General features: G+C 39.9%; 1 protein-coding gene across 2 annotated transcripts in view; it reads right to left on the bottom strand.

Moving 5' to 3' along the window:
• Positions 1-27,293, bottom strand: part of ABCB5 (ATP binding cassette subfamily B member 5) — a 141,342-nt gene that overhangs the window by 3,923 nt on the left and 110,126 nt on the right. For both annotated transcript variants that reach the window (NM_001163941.2, NM_178559.6), the window contains 5 exons: positions 25,946-26,046; positions 24,631-24,771; positions 13,947-14,103; positions 10,012-10,209; positions 7,648-7,854 (listed from right to left, as the gene is read on the bottom strand). In NM_001163941.2, coding sequence (NP_001157413.1) covers positions 7,648-7,854; positions 10,012-10,209; positions 13,947-14,103; positions 24,631-24,771; positions 25,946-26,046 — 804 coding nt within the window. The remainder of the gene's footprint in view (positions 1-7,647; positions 7,855-10,011; positions 10,210-13,946; positions 14,104-24,630; positions 24,772-25,945; positions 26,047-27,293) is intronic.

Genomic DNA, 27,293 nt, shown 5'->3' with positions numbered 1-27,293 from the left:
AAATTACTGGCAAGAAACAAGTTCACAGTAAACACAAATCCTTTTCCATTAAGTTATACTACCTACTATTTTCAGGTTAAAATGATTCGCAGTAGTAAAAACAACAAGGAAATTATGAAGTTTCTTCACTTTGGCTCTTGCTGAGCCTCTGTGGGCACATCCTTACAGATGCTGGGATAGGAGTCTCAGTGGTACATGCATCTTCCTGGAAATAAGTTAGGTTGACTTTTTTGTTTTTTTGAGACCGTGTCTCGCTCTGTTACCCAGTCTAGAGTGCAGTGGCGCAATCTTGGCTCACTGCAACCTCCGCCTCCCGGCTTCAAGCGATTCTCTGCCTCAGCCTCCCAAGTAGCTGGGATTACAGGTGCCCACCACCATGCCTGGCTAATTTTTGTATTTTTAGTAGAGATGAGGTTTCACCACGTTGGCCAGGCTGGTCATGAATTCCTGACCTCGTGATCCACCCTCCTCAGCCTCCCAAAGTGTTGGGATTGCAGGCGTGAGCTACCGCGCCTGGCCAGGTTGGCGTCTTGAAACAGTCTATTCACCTTTTCAGGCCACTAAGTAGTAATGGTGACATTTAGCACTTCACAGTGTTTTCTTAGTTCCCCTACTTACTAATAACCCAATTTCTCCAGTGTTTCCCTTCATGGAAGGGTAAAGAAAATTTCACACAAATCTTGAAGCCATCATGGTCCTCTGAATCACAATTGGTCAGTACAGTTGGGGTAAGCAGGTTCTTGCCTGCTTTTTAGATTGTCCCATTGACTTTGCTTCCTTTCAAGGCTTCACATTGCTTTCTAGTGGCCCTTGGCACTTTTGTAAGAAACATAAGCCCTTGGTACCTAGACAAGAATGTGTAGATGGATCAGTTCCATTGAGAAAGCTGGTCCAAGGGTATAGCCAGAAAGATTAATCCTGTAGCAGCATTTCACATGTAGCTTGTGATTCCTAGCTGTTCATTTTGTGTTGGTAATCTAGAGAAGCTTGAGGGAATTGCCTTTCTCTCCACATCTGACTGCCTTCAGGAAGTGCATTTTGGACAGAGTTGGTGTCACGAACCTGTGGTATAACCTTATAACAAAATGTGTCTACGTCATCTCAAAGCTTACTTTTCAATTTAACATGCATAGGTGCATGCTTTGTAGCAAAGGACGGGTGTCTGAATTACTAAAGCCTAGTAAAAATATCTTCTCTGACGTGAATGCTCTACAAAGAATACAGACTTTCGCTGTTTTCTCTGTCATTTATCTGGGACTACTAGCAGGCCTTGGGCCCCTTCCTCCTAAAATGCATTTTGTTAAATTTGGAACCATAGATAAAACTGTGTCTGCCGTTCATTTCCAAACACTGCAAAGTTCATATTTAAATGAGGGGATTCAATCTTAAACTAAAAATTGGGAAGGGAGGTGGGAATGATAATGAGCTCGTAGCCCTTTCTGCCAGCCTAGCTTAAATTGTACATGAATTCTTCTAGGGCAGCTGAAGAACATACAAAACTAGGAATCACTTTGCAGTCTTTGGCCTTCCCTGGATTGTAGGAGAGTGTAAGTTTAAAGAACATATTGGATGAAGGTTTTTTAATTTTTTTAAATTTTATTTATTTATTTATTTTTTTACGGAGTCTCGCTCTGTAGCCCAGGCTGGAGTGCAGTGACGCGATCTCGGCTCACTGCAAGCTCCGCTTCCCGGGTTCACGCCATTCTCCTGCCTCAGCCTCCCAGTAGCTGCAACTACAGGCGCCCGCCACCACGCCTGGCTAATTTTTTGTATTTTCAGTAGAGACGGGGTTTCACCATGTTAGCCAGGATGGTTTTATTTGTTTTTTAACAAAGAACCACAGAGTTTCTCTTTAGCCGAAAATTTGAATCCATTTTCTGGCAATCACTGGGATGGTGAGTGCCCCGAAATCACCTCTTTTATGAGAAACTCAAGGGGTAATGGCTCCTTAATATGAACCGGAGCTAAAAGTCAGTTGTGTCCCAGAGGGAACACCAGAGTCTAATCCTAAAGCAACTGCATTCTGGAGAATCCCTGCAGGCACTGGGTTGGATTTTCAGGGTGGTTACAGTGGTCAAAGTCCTACTTAAGGATGTGGCTCGACTGAGAGCTGCCACTGGGTGATACTGTGAAGATTAGTAGAGAACCACACCTGGTGTGTGTCTCAGAGGATCCTTGAGGTCAAGGCGGTGTTGCTTCCACTTCTGTCCTATGCCCCAGGCCTGTATTTCCAAATGCCTGTGGGATATTTCTATGAGATAAGTGGTAGATGCATTACATTACACTCAGCATGTTCTAATTGACTCCTTGCTCTGCACCCTTCTGGTTTGAGCCGTTACACAGATCCACACTCCCTTACCGAAACCGTTGGAGTTATCTGTATTTAAGAATTCTGATTTTTTTTCAACCTTAGAAGAAAAAAGTCTACGTATTATACATATACGATATGTTATCTATATTTAATAGATAATATATTATTTAACACCCCCAGAAGGATCTGGGGAAGCAATGGTAATCAAATACATGAATTTTGTGCAGATGTATTTGATTATTTATTCTAAGTGGGATAAATATAAATAAAGGACTATATTATATCCTCACATCATTTTGCCACCAAATGAATTTTCATCAAACATACACAATTTGTGTGTGGCTTGTGTGTATATGTGTGTGTGTGTGTGTGTGTGTGTGTGTGTGTGTGTAGGGGGAAGCCTTTGGACTCTCATCACTGCTCCGTGTTTTATTCCATGAGGCTGCTCAGTGCATTGTACATTTCCTTGCTCACTTTCCAGAAACAATCTTGAGCCAAGTCCTGTTGATTCCACTTTTAAAATATCTTTTAAATCAATTTTCTTGTTTTAGTTCACTTTGTAATTGTTATTGTAGGCCTTCAAAACCTATCCCTGGAAATAGCTCTGAACTGATCTCTCAAGCTGCCTGTGTCTTTGTCACTCTCTACCGTCATTTACATTGCTGCTAGATGAGTAATTCCAATATCCAATTCCCAACATGTTCCCTATTTAAAAATCTTCAGTGACTCCTTAGTAACTACCAAACTTAAACATTTCTTTCCTTGTGATTTAAGTGCCAGCTTTTTACCTTTACATGCTTATCAAATACCATAGCTTTATATACTCTATTCTTTGTCAATTGGCTTACAGTTCCATGAAAACATTGCCATAGTTTCTGTCTCCATGTTTTTGCTCAGGCTATGCCCATTGCCTCATTATAGAGAATGCCCTTTTAAAGCCTTGACTACTGAAATTCTACTTGATCAATACTCAGATCACCTCTTAATTCTCCAAAGGTCTCCTCTGAACCCCCAGCCAGAAGTGATTCTACTCCCCTCTAGGCTCAGATGGAAGTTTGTTTACCTTCTGTGCACTATAATTATTTGTATGTGTTGATCTGTGTTCATCTTAACTATTGGGCTTCATATTCCTAAAAGTAGGACTATATTTGTCCTATCTTCCCTAAATAAAAGCCCAGTGGTTTGCAAAGAAATGCTCAGTAGCTGTGTGTTGAGTGACTAAATGCATGGATGTTGGGATAGAGGAATGAAGACATGGGGCTGGACACAGTGTCTTTGGGAAGCCGAGGCGGGTGGATCACTTGAAGCCGGGAGTTTGAGACCAGCCTGGGCAACATGGTGAAACCCCATCTTTGCAAAAAAAAAAAAAAAAAAAAAAATTAGGCAGGCATAGGTGGCAGGCACCTATGGTCGCAGCTCCCGGGGAGGGTGAGGTGGGAGGAACACTTGAGCCCAGGAGGTCAAGGCTGCAGTGAGCTGAGATCCTGCCACTGTATTTCAGCCTAGGCGACAGAGCAAGACCCTGTGAAGAAAGAAAAGAAAGAAAGAGAGAGAGGGGGAGGGAGGGAGGGAGGGGAAGGGAGGAAGGAAGGAAGTAGAGAGGGAAGGAAGGAGAGAGAGAGGGAGGGAGGGAGGAAAAGAAAGGGAAAGAGAGAGAGAAAGGAAGAAAATACAAGAAAAGCAAGCAAGAAAGAAAGAGAAAGAAAGGGAGAGAGAAAGAAAGGGAGAGACAAAGAAAGGAAGGAAGACAGGGAAAGTAAATTTTGAGGAAGCAGGACATGGCAGATTGGTCAATCCACAAAGTTTGTAGTAAAAGTAAAAGAAATCCTCAGAAAGCAAAGTGTGACACAATTCAATTTGCTAAATAATTCTTGGAGAGAATTAAAATGAATAATACATTAATGTGTCTTATGTGAAGCCGACTTTCTTCCTATGCCTGTTTTACATATGGGTATATATTTTATGCTTACTGCATGTTACTGGAAGACCTGAACTCTTTCAGACTTTTGCTTCACCATTTTCACACTGCCACTGTGGCCATGTATTTGGAGGGAGTGCTGGGCTCCACTTATTTGCTCAAGAAAAAATTAATTCCCTTTTTTTTTTTTTTTTTTTTTTTTTTTTGAGATGGAGTCTCACTCTTGTTGCCCAGGCTGGAGTGCAATGGCATGATCTTGGCTCACTGCAACCTCCATCTCCCGGGTTCAAGTGATTCTCCTGCCTCAGCCTCCCAAGTAGCTGGGAATACAGGCGTGTGCCACCATGCCCAGCTAATTTTTGTATTATTAGTAAAGACAGGGTTTCACCATGTTGGCCAGGCTGGTCTTGAACTCCTGACCATAGGTAATCCACCCTCCTTGGCCTCCCAAAGTGCTAGGATTACAGGTGTGAGCCACTACACCTTCAGATAAAATTAATTCTATCTGAAGGAAGTACAACAAATTACAAGATTCATGTTCACTTTTCTTCCCTAAAAACCTACGTGTGAGCTGTAACATGTTTCTAAGTGTCACTCTGAGTATACCAGTGCCATTATCCACAGTTGTGGTGGTTGCTTTGGACTGCTCTTCTGAAGGGAGGAGCAAGGGCACCTTTGTTCCCATCTCTGAAACCCTAGGACCACCATGGTTACGAACCCTTTCCGTCCCTTCAGGATAGCACAAAGAATCCAGGTTCAAATGCTGAGTTTCTATACAACTTTAAGAAAGTTATTGAACTTCTTTATCTGTAAAATGCGGTAGTTACAGCATCCTTGCTGTACTATGGTGGAAATTTAGCTTAGTTCTTGGTTCCCAGAAGGGCTGGGGAATGCGTGGCTGGTTTCCTCTCTTCGTTTTTCCCAGCCAACTGAGCATAAGAGGGCAGCCTTATTCTCCCCAGGGTACTAACCGAAGGCATTTAGTAATATGCAGCTTTTCTAGGAATTATCTGATTTGATTTTTTTTAAACTATTTTATTTTGGTATCAGGTTTCCTTATTTTTCTACGTGTTTTTGGGGGAACAATGACATGAAGGTAAATTAAAGTTAAAATTTAAAACACTGAAAAATAAGCTAGTCTTTTAGAAAAAATGTTAAAGGAAATAACATCTTAGTTTTCAAAGTCTGTTGTAAAAAGTTAGCACAGTGGATTTTTGCAGCATATAGTTTTGAGTAAATGTGAGAACTGGTACAATAAAAAGAATAGAAGATAATAAACAATTTAAGAATAAAAGTTAGGCCAGATGTGGTGGCTTATGCCTGTAATTCCAGAACTTTGGGAGACCGAGGTGGGTGAAATTGCTTGAGCCCAGGAGCTTGAGTCCAGCCTAAGCAACATGATGAAACCCCATCTCTACAAAAAATACAAAAATTAGCCAGGCATGGTGGCATGTGCCTGTGATCCCACCTATTCGGGAGACTCAGGTGAGCCTGGGAGGTCGAGGCTGCAGTGAACCAAGAACACACCACTGCACTGCAGCCTGGGTGACAGAGTGAGGCCTTGTCTCAAAGGAAAAAGAATAAAAGTTAAATGGTACAAATATCAATTGGGCAGCATTTCACAATACATAAAACAAACTATCGAGATTATGCAGATAACAATCTGACCACAAATTAACAATGCAGTGAGTGTCATGGTTAAAAAGGAAGTTGCCATTAAAAGACATTCACAGTGTCTCTATATTTATAAAAAATATGTGAATCCTTCCTATGTCTTTAGTACTGCAAACCCTTACCAGAGTAAGGGAAATCCTGTTTGTACATGTAGGCACTATGTAGTATGGAGAAGAGCTGGTGAGGGAAAGAGTATAAAAGTTAGAGAGTATGATGGCTATTGGCCTTCACCAAAGAACAGGGCTCTAGATTATTAGTTGTTTGATATATTGGTTGTTAAATTTAACTATCTCCCTTTAAAGTGAGATAGAAACTTAGTTTATAAAAATCACATGTAGAAATTCGCCCCTACATGAAAATATCTCTATTTTTATTTCATTTAATTTATTTTATGTGTGTGTATGTGTGTTGCAAACACTCAGATATTATAAACACTTAAAGTTACAATTATCCCTCTCTGTGCACTGTTTTTGGATTTGTATCAATGCTTGCACTACCAAAGGCTTCTCTACAGTTAGCCAAGATTTTTGACTTTTCTGAGATTTTGTGCCAATTGCCACAGCCAATACAGACATCAAGGTGATAAAAAAGGATCTTACACTCTAGTGGGGAAGGGAAACACTAAACAAATAACTAAGTGCTCAGGGTAATTTTCAGACTGTGATACATGCCCTGAAGACAAAGTGATAGGGGATAGGACTGGTGAGGACTTTTAAAAATAGGATGTTTAGGGAAAGCCTCTGCAAAGGTAACATTTGAAAGGGCTTGAAAGTTAAGGTGCTACTTGCCGGGCGCGATGGCTCACGCCTGTAATCCCAGCACTTTGGGAGGCCAAGGCGGTGGATCACCTGAGGTCGGGAGTTTGAGACCAGCCTGTCCAACATGGAGAAACCCCTTCTCTACTAAAAATACAAAAAATTAGCCGGGCGTGATGGCACATGCCTGTAATCCCAGCTACTTGGGAGGCTGAGGCAGGAGAATTGCTTGAACACGGGAGGTGGAGCTGAGTGAGCTGAGATTGCACCATGGAACTCTAGCCTGGGCAACAAGAGCGAAACTCTGTCAAAAAAAAAAAAGAAAGTTAAGGCGCTACTATGCCAAAAGCCAACCTAAGGGAGGTCTAGGCTGGAGAAACAGCAAACGCAAATGTCCTAAGGTGGGGAGCAAGTTGGCATGTTCTTGAGACAGGAGAGACCAGCTCAGCTGCAGCAAAGCGACTGTGTGGTGAGGTTGTTGCTGGGGAAACAGCAGGGCCAGATTACAGAGGCTTCAGCAGCCCCTCCCCATGGGGTGTGTGGGCTTTATTCTAAGCGCACAGGGGAGCCATGAGGCAGTTGTGAGCAGGGGAGGGATAGGATCTAATTTGTTTTTAAAAGATCCCTCTGATTACTGTGAGGAAGAAAAATGATAAAGGAGCAAGACTGGAAGGCAGATGAAGAGGCTACCGCCGTGGCGGGGAGGTCATAGTGTGGACCAGCCACAGTGTAGATGGATGGAAGGCAAATAACAAAATGTGAAAGTTAATCCAGTGAATATTAATACATTTTGGTCGTAGGAAAATCGTCACACGAAAATCTCAAACTTGGTTTTTCGCATCTGACTTCATGTTTTACATCTAACTTTAGATTCTGGCAATAAATACATTGTATAATCCAAGGAATACATAAAAACAACTGCATAGGCCCAGTAGCTACTTAGCCTTACTTGGCAGCTTTATAATTCAAGATTTCAGAAATTTTCTTACCTCAGGGAGACCTTCAATAAAAGAATGGATATTTGCTGCATTTGCGGCTTCTTTGATCTCATCTAATGGCACCACACGGCTGTTGTCACCATAGGCGATGTTCTCAGCAATGCTGCAGTTGAAGAGCACAGGCTCTTGAGGAACGATTGCTATTTGGGAACGGAGCCACTGTACATTCAATTCTTTTGCATCCACACCATCAAACAGCTGCCAAAAGCAGATTGGAGAATGGTGTGTTAAGATCACACAACTGTATCATGTTACAGTTCACTGTATTCAAACACACACAAATCATAACAAGAAGGATAGGAATTCAAGCTATTTCAAAGTATAAAGTTACCCAAGGAAGGCTCATAAATCATACGTTGTATAGAAGCAAACAGCGTGTAACTCACTACTGCCCCCTCCACTGTAACAGGACCTGACTTTCTGAAAGCCCAGTAAAAAGTAGGTGGAGATGATACAGTACTCCACATGTAAAGCTGTGTCATCTTGCACACAGCCATGTTTATTCACATAAATAAATAACAACACTCTTAACAACACCATCTCATATTTGATGAGCATGCTCACTACGTGAGGGGGACTCTTCCAGTACCAGGGAAATAGTGGTCAATAAGAGAAAGCTCTTTCCCTTTTGTAGCTTATATATATATATTTTTTTAATTTTATTATTATTATACTTTAAGTTTTAGGGTACATGTGCACAACGTACAGGTTTGTTACATATGTATACATGTGCCATGTTGGTGTGCTGCACCCATTAACTCATGGTTTAGCATTAGGTATATCTCCTAATGCTGTCCCTCCCCCCTCCCCCCATGGATGTAGCTTATATTTTAGCAGAGAGGCATGCAATAAACACATGAACAAATAACTCAATAAACTCAGGAGAGGAAAGTACCCTAAAGACAGGGTAACAGGGTAGAGCGACTGAGGCAGTGGGGAGGGTATGGAGAGGCATGAGAAGGGGGTTGTACAAGAAGGCCTTAAGGAAAGGACGTTCAGACTAAGACATGAACAGTGAGAAGGAGCCTGCAAAGGGGACATTCTGGTCAGGGCAATAGCAAAAGAAAGGTTCATAGGTGTGTTTAAAGAACATGAGGAGACTGGGAGGCTGAGGTGGGCAGATGACTTGAGGCTAGGAGTTCAAGACCACCCTGGTTAACATGGTGAAACCCCGTTTCTACAAAAAATACAAAAACTAACTGGACATGGTGGCACACCCCTGTAATCTCAGCTACTACTTGGGAGGCTGAGGCATGAGAATCGCATGAACCCTAGAGGCGGGGGTTGCAGTGAGCAGAGATCACGCCACTGTACTCCAGCCTGGGCCACAGAGCAAGACTCTGTCTCAAAAAAACAAAACAAAACAAAAAACGTACAAAAGCCCCCCAAAAAACAGAAAAAGCACAGTGCATGATGACGTGGGGAGTGATATGAGAGGAGCTTGGAGTGGGAGGCAGGGGCCAGGGCATGAAGGACCTGATTGATGGCATAGACTGGTATGTTCTAACTGTGGAAGGTTTAGAAGAGGGAGTGTGCTATGCTATGTGCGAATAGATGAGTGTCTCATAGTTCAAGGGAGCCCTTTAGGACTCCCTTGAGTCCCTAAACTCTGTTTTGCAAACACTCATTGAGAATCTGTAAGGGCGAAAAGACTGTACGTTGCAGGAGAATGAGGACTAACATGGCAGTCTGAGTTTTAGGAACTTTTTTGTACGGGCAGGAGGCAGGACAGGAAGCTTTGTGTGGGTGTGCTGATGTGGTGGTGGGTGGTGGGGGGAGGACAAGGTAATGGAAAAACCACAATATAAGGTATAGTAAGACAAGTGCCAGGTAAGAAAAACAATCCTTAGTTTCGAAGGATGGGGAGATTACATTATTTTAGATATTAGAGGCATGACTTCATGGAGCTGATTCCAATAAGCCTTAACCGTGCATAAAGTTTTGACAGTTGGGAGGTGGGGATGAGTGGTGGGAAAGCAGAAGCCTGAACTAAGGAGGTGGAGGACAGTGTTCTCTCTGTCTTAAACCACAACAGAATACGGAGCCACGATGTGAACATTAGACCAGATCTCCAGCACCCATGTTCTAAAGTAATTCCATGGCTAAGATCAACATTTCTGCTGCCAGAATGGTTGAAGAATCTTTGGACCTTTGTGCTTCACTTCAGAGTCCTAACCATCATTTTTGTGATGGTTTGCTTGTCCTCTTAGTTAAGGGTTGACACAGAGATTTTTTTTCTTTTTAACTTCTGCATTGTTTGCCCCACCCAAACCAGTGGGGATGCTTAAGCCCTAGTGAATGTTTAAGAATAGGACTGCTAACCCCCAGATTAGGTGTGTTTCAGTTCTGTCTTACCACTTGTCCTTGCACGGGGTCATAAAGTCTCTGCAGAAGTTGAACAGAAGTGCTTTTCCCACAGCCGCTGCTCCCCACAAATGCTACTGTCTTTCCTCGCTCAATACTGAGGGATAAGCCACGGAGGATGAAAACATCTGGGCGACATGGATAGAAGAAAGAGACTTCTCGAAACTCTAAATTCCCTTCACATGTGTCCTGTGAAAGGAAGTTGACAGAGTTGAGAAGAATGACTTGGGAAGGTTGTAACACACTGTAGCATACTGGCCAAGTTCATTTTGAAAATTGTGCATGTTTCCAGAGCCCTTTTAATTTTAAACATGTATGCATCTCTGTAGAGCTGTTGACTGCAAGTGGGTTTCTGTCACTTTTGTTTATATTTTTTTGTGTCTGTGTTTCTTGTTATCTTCACTACTGACTTCACTGAGTTTCTAAAAACCACTTGCTTCCTTCAGCTTTGCTGCACAGACAGTTCCATTCCGCAGTTGGTTGTTTGACCAGCTTATCTGGGTAATACGTTTTTCTTTTTAATGTGGTTTGTGCTTTACAAACCTTTATTGCTTAATTCAGAAGAGCTGGGGTTCTCATAAACTATATGTATGAGGGTTATTTCTCTAAATTGGGCCATGTTTTATAGTGAAGGTACAGTATGTTTTGAATTCTGATTTATCTTTCTTATTTTATTTTATTTTATTTTATTTGAGAAAGGGTCTAGCTCTGTCACCCAGGCTGGAAGGCAGTGGTGTGATCTCGGCTCACTGCAACTTCCACTTCCCAGGCTCAAGCCATCCTCCCACCTCAGCCTCCTGAGTAGCTGGGACCACCAGCGTGCGCCACCACACCCAGCCAATTTTTGTATTTTTAGTAGAGATGGGTTTTCACTATGTTGCCCAGGCTGGTTCCAAACTCCTGGACTCAAGCAATCTGCCCACCTTGGCCTCCCGAAGTGCTGGGATTACAGGCGTGAGCCACCACACCCAGCCCTATCTTTATTTTCAATTGACCATTATTTGGCAGTGACAGTTGCCTAAACATTTAGTTTCTCTCTGTGCATCAATCTCTTTACTGGTTAATGATTTCTAAACCAATACTCATCTACACCAGGATGTTTAAAAAAGACTTTCCAGAACTATCACTAAATGATTAACTTTCCCTTTATATATTTGGTTCATAAGATTTTAAGTTCTTTTGATCTTTGTGTTCTTCTCAATTGCATTTTAAGTCTTATTAATTTTTGTTGTTAGACTAAACAACTAAGGAGTAGTGGATTTGTGTGTGTGTGTGCATGTGTGTGTGGTGGTAGTGATGGCTGGATTTTAAAACACATCCTTACAGTCAGGTTTACTAGTCATGTTTGACCCATTCTGAGCCCATCATATTATAGGTAAGAAGCAAGGGCAGGTAGGGGTGAGGAGTAAACAAAAAAAATTTTATGATATTATTTTCTTGTTAAAAGAATTTGATGTTAAGATGTGGTTAAGAGATCTAGAAATAGAAAAAAAAAATCTGGAAGGATATTTGCCAAAATTTAAAAGTAGTGTAGTAGTCGTTTATTTTAGTGTAGTGAGTATTTTCCATTTGCCCCCTACAACCTATGAATATTATTTGTATAAAAAATTTCTTTTTGTTTTATTTTTTAAATTTTTTTTGGTGTACTTCCCTCTCTGCATTTGTATAAAAAAGGTTTTAAAAAAACAGAATACCGCAGAAACATGAAGAATTCAATTATTTTTATGTATGCTCTTGTAAGTATTTTGTATAATAGCTCACAGAGGTATTCTAGAAAACTTCTAAATTTAATACATTTAAAATTTATTCTTACGATTTTTAATTCTATTTAATATGAAAAACTCCAAAAGTATAAAAATAGAGAGAAAAATTTAATAAATGGCCCACATACCTATCACCCAGCTGGAATTTCAATATTTGCCAATTTTGTTTGACCAGACTTTAATTTTTTTTTTTTTTTTTTGAGAAGGAGTCTCGCTCTGTCACCCAGGCTGGAGTACAGTGGTGTGATCTCGGCTCACTGCAATCTCTGCCTCCCAGGTTCAAGCGATCCTCCTGCCTCGGCCTCCCGAGCAGCTGGGGTGACAGGCATTGCCCCCACACCCTAATTTTTGTGTTTTTGTTAGCGATGGGGCTTTGCCATGTTAACCAGGCTGAACTTGAACTCCTGACCTTAGGTGATCCGCCCGTCTCAGCCTCCCAAAGTCCTGGGATTACAGGTGTAAGCCACCACACCCTGCCCAGATTTTAATTTTTAAAAGCGTAGAGTGATATTCAGAAACATTTACATACTAAATAAAATAAGGATTAAATTCATTAATTTTATAGCCTTTATAAGAAACACTTCCATAGTCTATGCCATGCCTATGGTTCTGTAAGGACATAGATCAGTGAGATACTCAATTCCTCTGTTATAATCTGCAGAAAGAAATAGGAGTAGCAATACTGTTATACATATAAATCTTAAAATTAAAAAAAAGCTTCTTACATCCTTTACTTTCCAAAATACAAGAACAAAATCTTATTTTGACTGTGATGTATCTTTGAAGCATTCTATTTTGAGAATTTCCAGATAGTCTTATTTCTGTCACTAACAGGCATTCTTCTTAACCATTGTGTAGCTCTAGTAATGCTGTATTTTAAGCTGTCATACATATAAATCTATTAAAATTCTAGAGGGAAATAATTATAAGTTAAAAACATTTAAGTATATACCTAATGGACTATTTTTATTTTAAAAATTAAAATGTCTAGAAAAGTACTAAAATTGAATGTATATTTAATGTATAAGACTATTATTTATTTTGTATTTATTTATTTATTTTTGAGAGCAAGTCTCGCTCTGTCGCCCAAGCTGGGGTGCAGTGGCGTGATCTCGGCTCACTGCAACCTCCGCCTCCCGGGTTCAAGCGATTCTCCTGTCTCGCCCTCCCGAGTAGCTGGGACTACAGGTGCGTGCCACCACACCCGGCTGAATTTTTTTAATTTTTTTATTTTTAGTAGAGACGGGGTTTCACCATGTTAGCCAGGATGGACTCGATCTCCTGACCTCGTGATCCACCCACCTCGGCCTCCCAAAGTGCTGGGATTACAGGCGTGAGCCACCACGCCCAGCTGTATAAGACTATTATTGAGAGATTTATTTTGAAATTATACACCCTACCTATTATTTCTCTTTTAATATTCACAGTCTTTTAGAGTTTGAGGCTAAATTTGTTTGTGTGCATCAATTTAATAGGTATACTTTCCTTTTTTTCCCCTTTGTTTGTAAATATATTTCCCATGAAAAATGGTGTCTGAAGCAGCAGAATATTATTTACTTTGCATATATTATCAGAGAAAAAAAAACAAATAAACCTTAATACGAATCTTCATCCAAGATCAAAACTTTAGTTTCTCAGTAGAATTCAGTATAAGAATCAATCTTTTTTTTCAAGAACATTCTCATAGCATCAGGCATATAAATTAAAAGCATATATTTTAAAATATGAAATATAAATTTTAGTTGTAGAGGTAAAAATTTGATTAAGACAAGACCCCTTTTCCCCGTTTGCAGCCATAAAATTATTTTGCACAAACTTTTAACTCTTTATGTTACTATGACATTATCTTTTGCAGAGTTTTCCAAAGACAGCCTTCATTTAATAAGTGGACATTTATTTTTTATTTTTATTTTTCATTTATGTTACATTTTATTTTTTCAACTTTTATTTTAGATCCAGGAGTATATGCGCAGGTTTGTTGTCTGGGTATATTGCGTAATGCTGATGTTTGGGGTATGAATGATCTTGTCACACAGGTACTGAGTATAGCACCCAATGGTTAGTTTTTCAGCCCTTGCCCCTCTCTCCCTCCCATCTTCAGTGGCCCCCAGTTCCTACTGTTGCCATCTTTATTTGGACATTTAAGATCACAGTTGTGCTTACTGGCTTTTTCCCTTCTTGACTGCGGCTGTCTATATTTGGTTTCTTTTCCAACAAGGCAAACAGATGCGCAGCCCCCGATTTGGCTTTGGAATATTCAGGAGCCAAAACGAGCGTTTCTCCGATGGCCATAGCTCCATATGCAATTGCAGTAAAAACTCTATCAAAAGATAAAGCATTTGAATCTTAGGTCCATCGATCCTTTGTAAAACAGTAGAACTCTAAAAGTAAAGAAAAAAGCAGGCACAGGAATATAATCTTTTGATGTAGACGGCACCCCTAACGCTGAAGACCCACCAAGTTATCTCTTTAAAAAATTTCTACCATGTAGTAATCATTCCTTGCTCTGTACACCAAAATGAACTTTGGAGCTTGGGTAATCTTAAAAATGTCTCTTCCAATTAGAGCCACAGATCAAAGGTCCCAACTAGTGAATATAAAACTTCTTAGTCATCTTGATATGAGGCTTGCTTGCTTGGAGATTTGACAGAGAATTCAACTGACAATAGGAAGAATGAATCTCCAGTAGTGAGATCTGGATTTACACAGTAGATATGATTTTTTGTTTGTTTGTTTTGCATATAATGTAGTTAGGACAGATAACTGAAGCTAAATGACTGGTTATCTGTCTGATATGCTACATTATTTAGAGAGCAAATCATGGGGATCGTATTTTCCTCAGGTTCCCAAAGCAAAATCTGACTAAAAAGACTGAAAGAAGAACTTTGATCTTTTAGGTTTGTTATTGATTATGATCTCAGTTTCAAAACATGTTAATTATAAAATGGTAAGTGTGCAAATGATGTTTGGAAGCACACAGAATATTTACTCGACTGTGGCACAGGACCTGACCATGGTTAAATATTTTCCTCTCATTTTCGATTTCATTTTAGATATGAAAGTAGTGTACTAGAATGCAAAACAATGCATCTTAGTAACAAACCTAACGGCACAATCAGGCTAAAACTGGACCAGTGTCGCTGGCAATATTTAAACATTAGGCAGTAAAGGGTCATCACAGAACCCAGTTGCTTGTTTGCAGTGCTGGATAACAGCAAAGTAAACACGTCTGGGCTCCTTGTGAATTTCTCCCTCAATGGGGCCTATCAAAGGGTAGATGTAGATGCTGATGCAATCTCTTCAGTGACCTAGACCTCAGATCCTGAATCCTGTTGGCTTTACAAAGATCAAACACAGTATAAAATATAAAAACAAAAATAACACTAAAATAATTGTTATTTAGTTCAGTGATGTCAAGGCATTTTTTAGTACTGATATTTACAGAAAGTGTTTAAAGCTCAAAATGCCATTTGAATTATTTGATACCCAGCTATAAACATCAGAAATGGTCACTGAGTTTAGGTAACCAAATCAGAAGGTTTTTTTTTTTAAATGTGTTTTTAATGCAAGGAAAAATCAGACTGTCAGACTTAAGCCTCAGTCTGATCCAAGAATCAGCAGGTGAGCTGGGAAGATAATTGGATTATGAGTTAGGAGACCTGGTTTCTAGTCCCAAAGGGGTAGAGGCTTCTCTGAAATCAATAACTGAGAAAATAGCTTCTTCCCATGATTTGAGATATGCTAAAATCTCTACCTGTCCTAACATTCCCACTATAACAGTAATGGTAAGCATTAGACATAAATGTCTAGAGGCAGACATCCTTGTTAGGTCCCTCTGAAAATGGAAATATTAATGAGAAAGGGAGAAGGGCCTTCAACTCAGAGCTTGTGTTTGTGGGAGGTAAATGACCCAAAGGATGGAGAATGGAGCCGGAAGAAAGGGTTCAGTTAGAGAAGGGAGAGTACAAGCAAAAGCCCTGATACCGTCTTTAATGAGTGAGTGCTGAGAGAAACGTAAGTGGGATGGGGGCTGATGCCGATGAGGGTTATGTTGAAGACCCTGGAGGGGAAGTGTGGACTTTGAGGTGTTGGACTATCTGGGGTTGAGTGAGGGACACTAATCTTCTTCATCTTTTTTTTTTTTTAAGACAGAGTCTTGCTTTGTCATTCAGGCTGGAGTGCAGTGGCATGATGTCAGCTCACTGCAACCTCCATCTCCTGGGTTCAAGCAATTCTCCTGCCTCCACCTCCTGAAGCTGGGATTACAGGCATGCACCACCATGCCTAGCTAATTTTTGTGTTGACCAGGCTGGTCTCGAACTGCTGACCTAGTGATCCGCCTGCCTCGGCCTCCCAAAGTGCTGGGATTATAGGCATGAGCCACTGCGCCCGGCCTAGGGACAGTAATCTTCTTTACGCTTTTTCTCCAGGTGGATTCTGTATAAAGGTAGGCCAAGGCCCACACATGGAAAAAACTGGTCTGCTACAGAATTTGTCCTTACCTAATCAGACCCAATTAGCTAGGGTGAGCTAAACTGAAATTCAGTTCCACTCAACAAGTATTTATTGTAGAATAACCCGTGCTGTAACTCCGTAACATAGTTAAACCATATCCTTCAAATCTGGTTTAAGCTCCTGGAGGCATTTGAACTGAACACCTAACTGGGAGAAATGTACAGGCCAACAATCTCTCATGTCACTGTTGGTCTTGAGGAGTTTCACCCATTTGGGATATATGAAGAGGAGTAATTTGGTATCATGACAAATATTTTAAAGTCACTAACAGGAGCTGTGTGCAGTGGTTCATGCCTGTAATTCCAGCACTTTGGGAGGCCGAGGTGGGTGGATCACGAGGTCAGGAGTTCAAGACCAGCCTGGCCAACATGGTGAAACTCCATCTCTACTAAAAATACAAAAATTAGCTGGGTGTGTTGGCACACACCTGTAATGCTAGCTACTCAGGAGACTGAGGCAGGAGAATTGCTTGAACCCGGGAGGTGGAGGTTGCAGTGAGCTGAGATCACGTCACTGCACTCCAGCCTGGTGACAGAGTGAGACTCCGTCTCAAGAAAAACAGCAACAACAACAACAAAAAAGAAAAAAAAAGCTCTCACACTTCTGTAGCAATAGATTAGCACGGCAGGTCAAATCACAACTTTCCAAGTCCTTACTCAGTAAGTTTCTTTCTTTGATTAGAAGGCAGAGTATCTTTCCCCATAGAGGTAGTCATTAAAATTATTCCCATGCTCATCTGTATATCATCCATATACAACCCAGAGACCTCTTCCCGCCCTAAATCCTTTTCTCAACAGATAGGAGGAGAAAATAAGCAACTAACATTTATTTGGTTCTTTGGATCTTATAGAATGTTTTCATATACAAGATACCATCTAATCACCTAGGAGATAAGTAGAATGGAAACTTATCAGTCAATGAATGAGGAGACTCTAGCTCAGAAAAATTATGCAATTTGCCCAGAAGACATGAGATTGTAGGGTTGGAACGTGAGCTGCCTTCCTCTCTGTGTTTTCCCCTACATGGTCTTCCTTGCAGTGGAAAGCTGGCTGGAATGGTCTTTTCCTACATGTTGGAGTTTGTTACCACTTGCTTTCCATTTTAGAATCTTCTGAAGGCCCTAGATATCAACTGTCCTTTGATTTCTCTTCTTTAGGTCCCTTCAGTGGTTGATTTAGCCTTCTTATCTTGTCCTTGTCTGTCTCTTCCGGATAATCTCTGGGGAGGAGCCAGGCAAGAGCTAGGTGGCTGCCATGGCAGCCAACATGGAAAGAAGTCTTTCCTGTTTTCTTTGTTTTGTGTAACCAGTGTTGCTTTCCTTAACACAGCAATAACACTCACAGTTCTTCCCTGGCTGCCCAGCCTCCTAGGGCAAAGATGATGGTGCAGGCCTAGCTCCCTTCTGTCCATCCTTTATTATGTTAAGGTATCGACCCACTGTTAATACTCATTGAAAACCCACCTATGTTGCTCTTTTGGCCAATAATCACATTATTATTGGAAATACAATGTGGTTTCTTGTCAAGAACTGCATTTGGTTTTTAAGAGAACTAGGAAACACACCCATAAACTGCCTGGTTCTGCTTCTCAGGCAGTTTTCAAAGCTGTGGCTTTTATTATTACTGTATTGAGGGCTGCCATATCTTGATTCTTTCTTACCTATATGCTCTGCTTAGCTTCTTGATAATATGGATAGAAAATATGGAAGAAACTCACAGAGATAGAGAAAGCTTTGCAGTGGGGAAAGGAAGGCTACAGAAACCTCTCCTGATTAGGAATGGTTCTTGGTCGGTATTGCAAAAGGCAAGTCAGCTGGAAACCAGCCGAAAGGGACTAACACAAAGAGATAGGATAAAATAAACTTATTTTGTACATCTAAATCTACACATTTATAGTGAAATAACAAATAGAATGTGTTACCAGGACTAACAAAGGGAGAGGTGAGTGTTTTACTACACATGGGTGCATGAGAACCTAAACAAGAGATTTTCTAAACGCCCCTATGCCTTGTCTGTAAGGTGGCAGAATGAAAATGTTATCACCTTATTTTAAATGCTCATTTCAGATAAACTTCTAGGATAGTAGAAATAGAGACGGCTTCTACCATAAGACATGCGTGTTGTCTTTTTTTTTCTTTTAGAGGCTTTTTCCTCTAAAAAGCCTTGCTGACAAACTAATATTATGAGCACATTAAAGAATTTTGCTGTTAAAACTCCCTTTGTGTATCTCCCTTTCTGAGACACAATGTCATTTTTGAAAGAGACACAGATAATCCATCCTTGTAGCTATAAATTATGCCTTGGAGTAATCTGGAATGTTTGATAAAATGAAGATTCCTGCCCCATACTAGATCTACAAATCAGATTTTGCAGGATGAGATCTAGGTATCTACAGTTTTAACCAGCTCCTAGATTGCTGAGTTGGAAAACCATTGGTTTAGAGAATGGCTCAAAGTGCTTTTTATCTAAGAAGAATTCTAGTAGGAGGGAGTTTTCTTTGTAAATTTCTTTGGTTTAGCTAGTCGATGAGATTGAAAGCTGTCTGTCATCCTAGATTCTGGAAGGTACAGAGTCTTCTAGGCCAGGTATCATTTAGTGTGTCTAAAGGGAGCTTGTGACACATTCATGGTAGTTGGGGCCACATTTGATCTCTAGGACCAAATCCTCTTTGGTGTTGAAGACAAATCTCATCTATTGACATTATGCATAGTGCTATGTTGCTCTTTTGGGCAATAACCACATTTAATACTGGAGGAGAATCCCTAGAGAATCTCTCTTTTGTCCATACTCCAAAAGTGTGGGTACCCTTATTCTGTCTGTATTCTGACTGGATGAAACTCAAAACGTGAGGCTGGGTGTGGTGGCTTACACCTGTAATCCTAGCACTTTGGGAGGCTAAGGGAGGTGGATCACTTGAGGTCCGGAGTTTGAGACCGGCCTGGCCAACATGGTGAAATCTGGTCTCCACCAAAACATGCAGAAATTAGCCAGGTGTGGTGACATGTGCCTGTAGTCCCAACTACTCAGGAGGCTGAGGTGGGAGAATTGCTTGAATCCAGGAAGCGGAGTTTGCGGCGAGCTGAGATCGTGCCACTGCACTCCAGCATGGGCGACAGAGCGAGACTCGAACTTAAAAAAAAAAAAAAAGAAAAGAAAAGAAAAGAGAAGAAAAGTGATACCAGTGGCTCTAGCTCAGATAGCTCTCTATTTCTTCCTTCCCTTGGGGCACTGGGAAATACCAAGGTGGTACTATTCTTTAATTGTTACTCTTATGTTAACAGTCCTTCATATGTTCTGATAGTTAAAATGCTTATGTATCTAGAAGAGACCCCCTTTTAATGAATTTAATTAAAAGAAATTCAGGAAGTATGGTAGGCCAGCTCAGGGAAGAAATTTTATATTGGGGACTTTTCATTCTCATATTTTAGGGCTATAAAATAGCACTAAGCAGGTCACCTGTTCCATTTATATGTGAGGAATCAGCCCAACTTTGAATACTCGAATGTTTGAAAAACTAAGCAAGAATTATTTAAAAAATAATTTCACAGAAATATTCTATGAATGTTTGGCCACAGAATTTGTAATAATAATAATAATAATAATAATGTACGTTGAGTAAACCAAACCTCTGGAATCTGGAACCATGAACTTGAATCTGTGCTCTGCTACTTACCGATTATGTAACTTTGAGCAAGTTAGGTAACCTCTTTGAGTCTTAATTGTTCTCATCTGTAAAATGGGAACCATAGTATTTCACAGGGTAGTTTAGAGCATTAAACAGATAATATACAGCAAATACTTAAAACTGAGTAAAGATTCAATCAAGATTTGCCGTTATAGCAATTTTCATAAGTAATGGAATGGTTGGCAGTCTTGGAAAGCCCCTTAAAGGAAACATCCTAACGGGTGTCATTTGCAGGCATGAAAGTGACTGGCATGATTTTGAGGTTGTATCATTCTTCGACTGAGAAATTTTTTCTTAGCTTTAATCTAAACAAATCTCAGTAGGTACAGGTAAATTCTCAATTCCACACATCATATTTTATATCAATGGTTGCCCTCGATTTAGATCCAGTCCTCCTGCCAAAGCACCTGGTATTAGACATATGGGTGTAGAAAAGAAGAAAATTAGAAAAATTTGTGAAAAACAGACTCCTGTTTTCAAAGTGTGAAGGTGACTCCGAAGGCACATTTCCAGAAATGACTGTACTGCCTAATTATGTACCATTCCAAATCTCCCCCTTAATTTTGATTCAGTCATTCATTCAATAAATATTTATTGTGTGTCTGTTATGTGCCACCCACTTGTTTTTGGCTTTTGGGAAACATCAGTGAACAAGATAGGTTACAACTTGTGCTCAGTCTATGCACTCATAAATATGGAAACACAAAATATAATTTCATAGAATCATAAGTGTCATAAGTGTTGTAAACAAAATATGGTGATGGGAAAGAGAGTGATGAGGAGGGAGGGTTAGGGGAACTACTTTGGACCATCGGTGAAAGTCCCTCTGAGGAGTGGACTTAGCAGGGGAAGCCTGAGTGGTAAGAAAAAGGTAGCTTAGCAAAGCCCTGGGGAATGACCATTCCAGGCAGAGAATAGCAAGTGTGAAGACCCTGCAATGGGGAGGTCCAGGGACAGACATGGCAAGTGTGGGGCTGATGAGTAGTTAACATGGGAGATAGAGGTGGATGAAATTGGAAAGCAACGCAGCAGCCCCATCATGAAGGTCTTTCAGGTCATGGTAAGGACTTTGGCTTTATTCAAATTTCAGTGGGAAGATCTAGATCTTGCAGAATTTTAATAAACTGGTGCTATTGGATTTGTGCATTAAATGATCAGTCTGGCTGCAGTGTGGAGAATGGATTATAGGGAAGCAAGAGTGGACACAAGGACATTGGTGAGGTTGTTGCAGTGGTCCAGTCAAGACAGGGAGGGGCTTGGATGAGTGTGAAGAGGATGAGAAGAATTTTGGAATTAGAGTCATGAGGAATCAGTGATTTATGTGGTGGACAATGGCAAGAGAAGCAACAGGGATGACTCCAACATTTTTGGGCTGACAACTGTGTGGATGGTGGTTGGTGTTATTAGTTAAGATGGGAAAGTCTTGGGGAAGATAACCTTTGGGGAGAAACACCTTAAATTCTGTTTTGAACACATTGAGATATTAGTCCTCCAAGTGGAGGTGTCTCCTAAGTAATTGGATAAGGGTCTTGTGCTCAGGGCAGGGTCAGAGTTGGAAATATACAGAAGGAAGTTATCAGGACACAGGTGGTATTTAAAACTGACAGATTGGATGAGAACACTAATGAAAGTGTAATAGATGAAAGGTCTGGGAGCTCTAAAGCCCTCCAACACACAGAGTCCTGGCTGAAAAACAGGATCCAGTAAATTTTATATGTATATATATATATATATTTTTTTTTTTTTTTCCTGAGTTGGAGTCTTGCTCTGTTGCCCAGGCTGGAGTGCAGTGGTGTGATCTCGGCTCACTGCAACCTCCACCTCCGGGGTTGAAGCAATTCTTGTCCCTCACCTCCCAAGTAGATGGGATTACAGGCGCCCACCACCATGCCCAGCTAATTTTTGTATTTTTTAGTAGAGACGGGGTTTCACCATGTTGGCCAGGCTAGTCTTGAGCTCCTGACCTTGTGATCCACCCACCTCTGCCTCCCAAAGTGTTGGGACTACAGGCATGAGCCACCGTGCCTGGCCTTCTTATTTTTTTTTATAGGTGTGATTACAAAGCAAAGAAAGAGTAGTGACAGAGAAATTGATGAAAACAGATGAAAATTCTTCTGTGAGAATTTGGAAAATCATCAAACCTCGTACATTAGTATGAATATGTTTAATTGGCTTGCTTTCTACTAATACTCAAAACTAGTTATACAGAAGGAACGGGGCCCTGGGGATTAAAGAAGTCTGTGGAAAGTTTAGAGCAACATGAGGAAAACATGTTTTGAGTTTCAAACTATTGGCTTGCAAACAAACTTTTGGATTACAACCAACTTTCAAGCTTGGGAGTGCCTGGATTATATTAGAACAAAGGAAAAACTGGCTCACGGGGGCTGGTGAGCTGAATTATTTATGTGATTTCAGATTTTGTTTCTTGTTAATCTACCTAAGTAATTAGTCTTATGTAATCAGAATGAAACCCAAGCCTAAATATAATTGTGGTTTATAAATTCACATGGGCAATAGTGCACACTATTTTAGAGGCTAGGAGAACATAGGACAGGGAACTTGCAATTTCTGTTGAAATTTTATTTTAAATTTTTTGAGGCAGAGTCTCACTCTGTCATCCAGGCTAGAGTGCAGTGGTGTGATCTTGGCTCATTGCAACCTCTGCCTCCTCGGGTCAAGTGATTCTCATGCCTCAGCCTCCCAAGTAGCTGGGATTACAGGCATGCACCGCCATACATGGCTAATTTTTGTATTTTGACTACAGACAGCATTTCACAGGTTGTCCAGGCTGGTCTCGAAATCCTGACCTTTGGTGATCCACCTGCCTTGGACTCCCAAAGTGCTGGGATTAGAGGCATGAGCCACCACATCCAGCCCTTCTGTTGAAATTTTAAATACAGATATTCCATTTCCATATTCCATTTTATAAGGAAATCTGCTTCCAGGAAACTTCTAAGTGGCTTTGGTGTCAGGTAAGATTTAGGAATACTGGGTTGGTGAACTCTGGACTGTTTTCTTATCAGTGCCTAACAAAGAAACTTCCTGGGACTTCACTTAATGCTTAATAAATAAATAAATTTTCATGTGAATAGAAACTAAAAATTATTCCAAGTTATTCTGAAATTACTTAGGTTTAAATGTCTTTTGGCCATTTCCTCAAATTGAACCTATCCTGAAAATACAAATATGCCAACAATAAGGATATTCAAAGTAATGTCCTGAGACTTGGGAAACAAAACCCAAAGAGAAGTGCCCAGTGTGTTCTGCCAAATAGCAGCATCCTTGTAACAGGTGTAATCTCCCAATTCATTATTGTGAAGAGGCTGATACTTGCATGGATGTGCATTTTTTGGTGGGCTTGTTAAAAATAACATAATGTTACTTTTTTGAGTCAAGTATTGTATGGATTTCTCCAGTTCTAAATGCTTAGCAATGACGTTTATGATGGATTAGCAACATTTCTGATATTTTAGGCTCTCAGCTCAGAATTAATACTCAAAATTAATTTTTCTAATTTAGCAGTTGCATTAGATGTTCCGGTAAAACAAATAAATTCATAATTATGTGACCAGAACTTCAAAATAGGAGCTCCAACCTAATGCTTTGGGAAGAAGCAGCCTCACTGGGACACCACATTCAATTCCAAATGTGACATTTTTGAAGGGAAACACTCATTTATATGTGTTTCTTCTGGATTATTTGCTTAGCAAATAATTCATCCTCACTGATGTACAGTCTTACTTTAGGAAGCCATCTCCACACTGAGAGTTTCATAATGTCTCACAAATTTCCTAAGGGATGAATGACAAGAAGGCATATTTTGCCCCCACATTCCCATGTTCCAGTAAACTGAAGCAGAGAGCAATTCATCTGGGAATTTAATTCAGATTTTATGCCTTATATCAGTATCAGTATTTTACCAGTTATGCTGTACTTATAGAGACTAAATAACAAAAACACTTAGCTCGATTTAATCATTTCACAGTGTTAACATATATCAGAACATCCCATTGTACCCCATAAATATATAATATGTACAATTATTGTCTGTCAATTAAAAATAAAATTCATCCCAATTACCCTGATTTGATCATTAAACATCATATGAATATATCAAAATATCATGTGTACCCCTAAAATATGTGTAACTATTATATATCAATACAAAATTTAAAAATATGTGTATATTTAAAAAAATTCCAACTTAAAAAAAATTCAAGCATACCTTTTCCACATATGTGATTTAAATGATAACTCACTATAAACTAGACATCTTTCTGGTAAATAAGTACATGACCCCCTTACAAGGTTTATGTATTTCCACAACTTATTAATTAATTTATTTATTTTGAGACAGAGTCTCACTTTGTTGCCCAGGCTGGAGTGCAGTGGCGTGATCTCAGCTCACTGCAGCCTCCATTTCCTGGGTTCAATCGATTCTCCTGCCTCAGCCTCCTGAGTAGGTGGGATTACAGGAGCCTGCCACCACACCCAGCTAATTTTTGTATTTTTAGTAGAGATGGGGTTTTATTATGTTGGTCAGGCTGATCTCAAACTCCTGACCTCAAGTGATCCACCCGCCTCAGCCTCTCAAAGTGTTGGAATTACAGGTGTGAGCTACCAGGTCCGGACTATTTCCACGACTTACATGAACATGCCCTCTGGGGTCATTCGTCCAGCTTGAATTAAATAGGCTCCAAATCGAAACCCTGCCGCATAGGCAAAATATATAAAGGCATGGCTGAATGCATAACAGCTTCCAATAATCTGTGCTTTCTTCGAGGTATTTCTGGAATGTACAAAATTTACCAAATAATGAGGCATGAATTATAGCAAGGTCAATTGAATACATGTAGAGTAATAAATAGAGAGGACTTTGAAATGTTATAATTTGGTGGAAAGGCATTTTTCGAATGATGAAAGAGAAAGTGATTTTTTTTTTTTTACTACTGAGAATTCTTTGAGAAAAGACAGATAATGTTATAATTCTTTTCCCTATAGTCATATACTCTCTAGTTCAGTATAACAAATTTAACTTTATATACTGTTAAATGAATGGGCAAAGCCCGTGAAAGGATGGCTAGTGTAAGAGTTAGAGATTTGGTTTAGGTATTTAGAAGGATTTTCTAAGTCTCCATTACAATCTTTCATTAACAGAATAGAGGAAATTAAAGGGTGGTGCCAACTACAAGTATGAGTCCAAAAGAGTAAAAAGCTATCTTTCTGTTAAAGTAATATAAAAAGCATCACTAAGTCAATGTGATAAGGAGGACTAGTTTAAAATTAAAAGTGTAAGTGCATTTATTATGTATATATTCGTATTTAAAATGTAAACTATTTTAGGGATTTAATGTAAAGGGCCGAGCTCTTTTCTCTTGCTGTGTCGCCTAGGCTGGAGTTGGAGTGTAATGGCATGATCTCAGCTCACTGCAACCTCTGCCTCCCAGGTTCAAGTGATTCTCCTGCCTCAGCCTCCAAGTAGCTGGGACTACAAGTGTGCACCACCACACCCAGCTAATTTTTGCATTTTTAGTAGAGATGGGGTTTCATCATGTTGTCCAGGCTGGTCTCTAACTGTTGACCTTAAGTGATCCGCCCACCTCAGCCTCCCAAAGTGCTGGGATTACAGGTGTGAGACACAGCGCCCTGCCCGCAATTTTATTTTCTTTCTTGCGTATGTTATTTCATTAATATTCTTTCAGGAAAATAAGAAAAATGTGCATACTTAGTAACAGACAGTTAATGGTAATGTGAGAGGACCTAAAATATTTATTCTAATTGTGGTTGCCCTCAATTCCTCTTCTAGTTTCTCTTGGTGAAGTCATATGAGAAATTATGACATGACATTATTAGGAAAGGCTCAAGAGCAAATGAATTAGCAGGCAAACCACTGGAGTCATTTGAGAGTACTGCCTTTACAGAACAAAATTAAGTTTTTGAAGTCAGTATGAATCTATAATCACCTGTGTTGAGTCTGAAGCATCTCTTCATACATTTGCTCGAAGGCTTTTTCCCTTGTTAATGACACTATAGTACGTATATTCTCCAAAGCTTCAGTTGCTATCTTATAAAACAGGACAATACAATATAGAAATAAAATTAGTAATGGTTAATCTTTTCCCATTTGTGAATTCTAGTCACTCACACTGGGGACATATTAAGTATATCAAGTCAGTAAGTTTTCCTGACAAATATTCTTAGCTTCCTTTCCTCCCAGAAAATAAGATAGAAAAATGACACTTTTGGATGATAAGCTTAAGGAAAATGTCTTATTGAGATTTAGTCTACTGATCTAAGTTTAACCCCATTCAAGTTTATACTGAATTTCAATTTAAACTTGTTCCATAGACAGAAGAATAAAACATTAGTAAGCATTATGTTCACATGCAAAGGAGCTTCCTACAAATTATGAAACAATTCAAGTAAAAGATAGCAGATGCTAGGCACAATGGCTTATGATTGTAATCCCAGTACTTTGGGAGGCCAAGGCGGGCCGATTACTTGAGGCCAGGAGTTCGAAACCAGCCTGGCCAACATGGTAAAACCCTGTCTCTACTAAAAATACAAAAATTAACCAGGTATGGTGGCACATGTCTGTAATCCCAGCTACTCAGGAAGCTAAGGCACGAGAATCACTTGAACCTGGGAGGTGGAGGTTGCAGTGAGCTGAGATCATCCACTGCACTCCAGCTTGGGCAACAGAGTGAGACTTCTCTGTCTCAAAAAAAAAAAAAAAAAAAAAAAAGATAGCAGAGATAAAGTAATCACATAATTATTTTATTCTAGCAAAGAATTAAAAATAGCAACTTAAAAGGACTCAGGAACATTACAGGAAAGTAACATGGCATGTGGTTATAAAATTCTTTATGAGATAAAGCCATTTCTCATATTGGCGTCTGTGAATGTAAAAAGACATTTAATTCAAATGTGATGAATACTTCTCCACATTTATATAGTTTATAAAGAGAATGCATAATTACATGGGATTCAAAATGGAAGAGAGTTTTGGTTTAGAATAGCTTTTCGGACATGAGAACATGTGTTGGCTTGAAAGAGAAACTTCCTGTTTTCACATTCTGTTTCCAGATTGGCAGAATGGACTGTGGGACAGAGAAGACCAGGTAGACACTTGGCCTTCTCTGAAGAATAACTTGGGTTGTAGGAGGGAACTAGATTTCTGGACTGTCGTGAGGACACCAGGATTCTGCTCCCAATTTTGATGTTGGTTGTTTTAAATTCTCATTAATTTAAAAATGGACTTAAAGAAACCTCCATTTGTAACATTCCATAGTATATGAAGAAAATGGATAA

The sequence above is a fragment of the Homo sapiens genome, chromosome 7 (assembly GCF_000001405.40).
Source record: "Homo sapiens chromosome 7, GRCh38.p14 Primary Assembly".
NCBI classification, from domain to species: Eukaryota; Metazoa; Chordata; class Mammalia; order Primates; family Hominidae; genus Homo; species Homo sapiens.
Note: the sequence above shows the minus strand (reverse complement) of the source record. Positions and strands in the feature narration are given on the sequence as shown.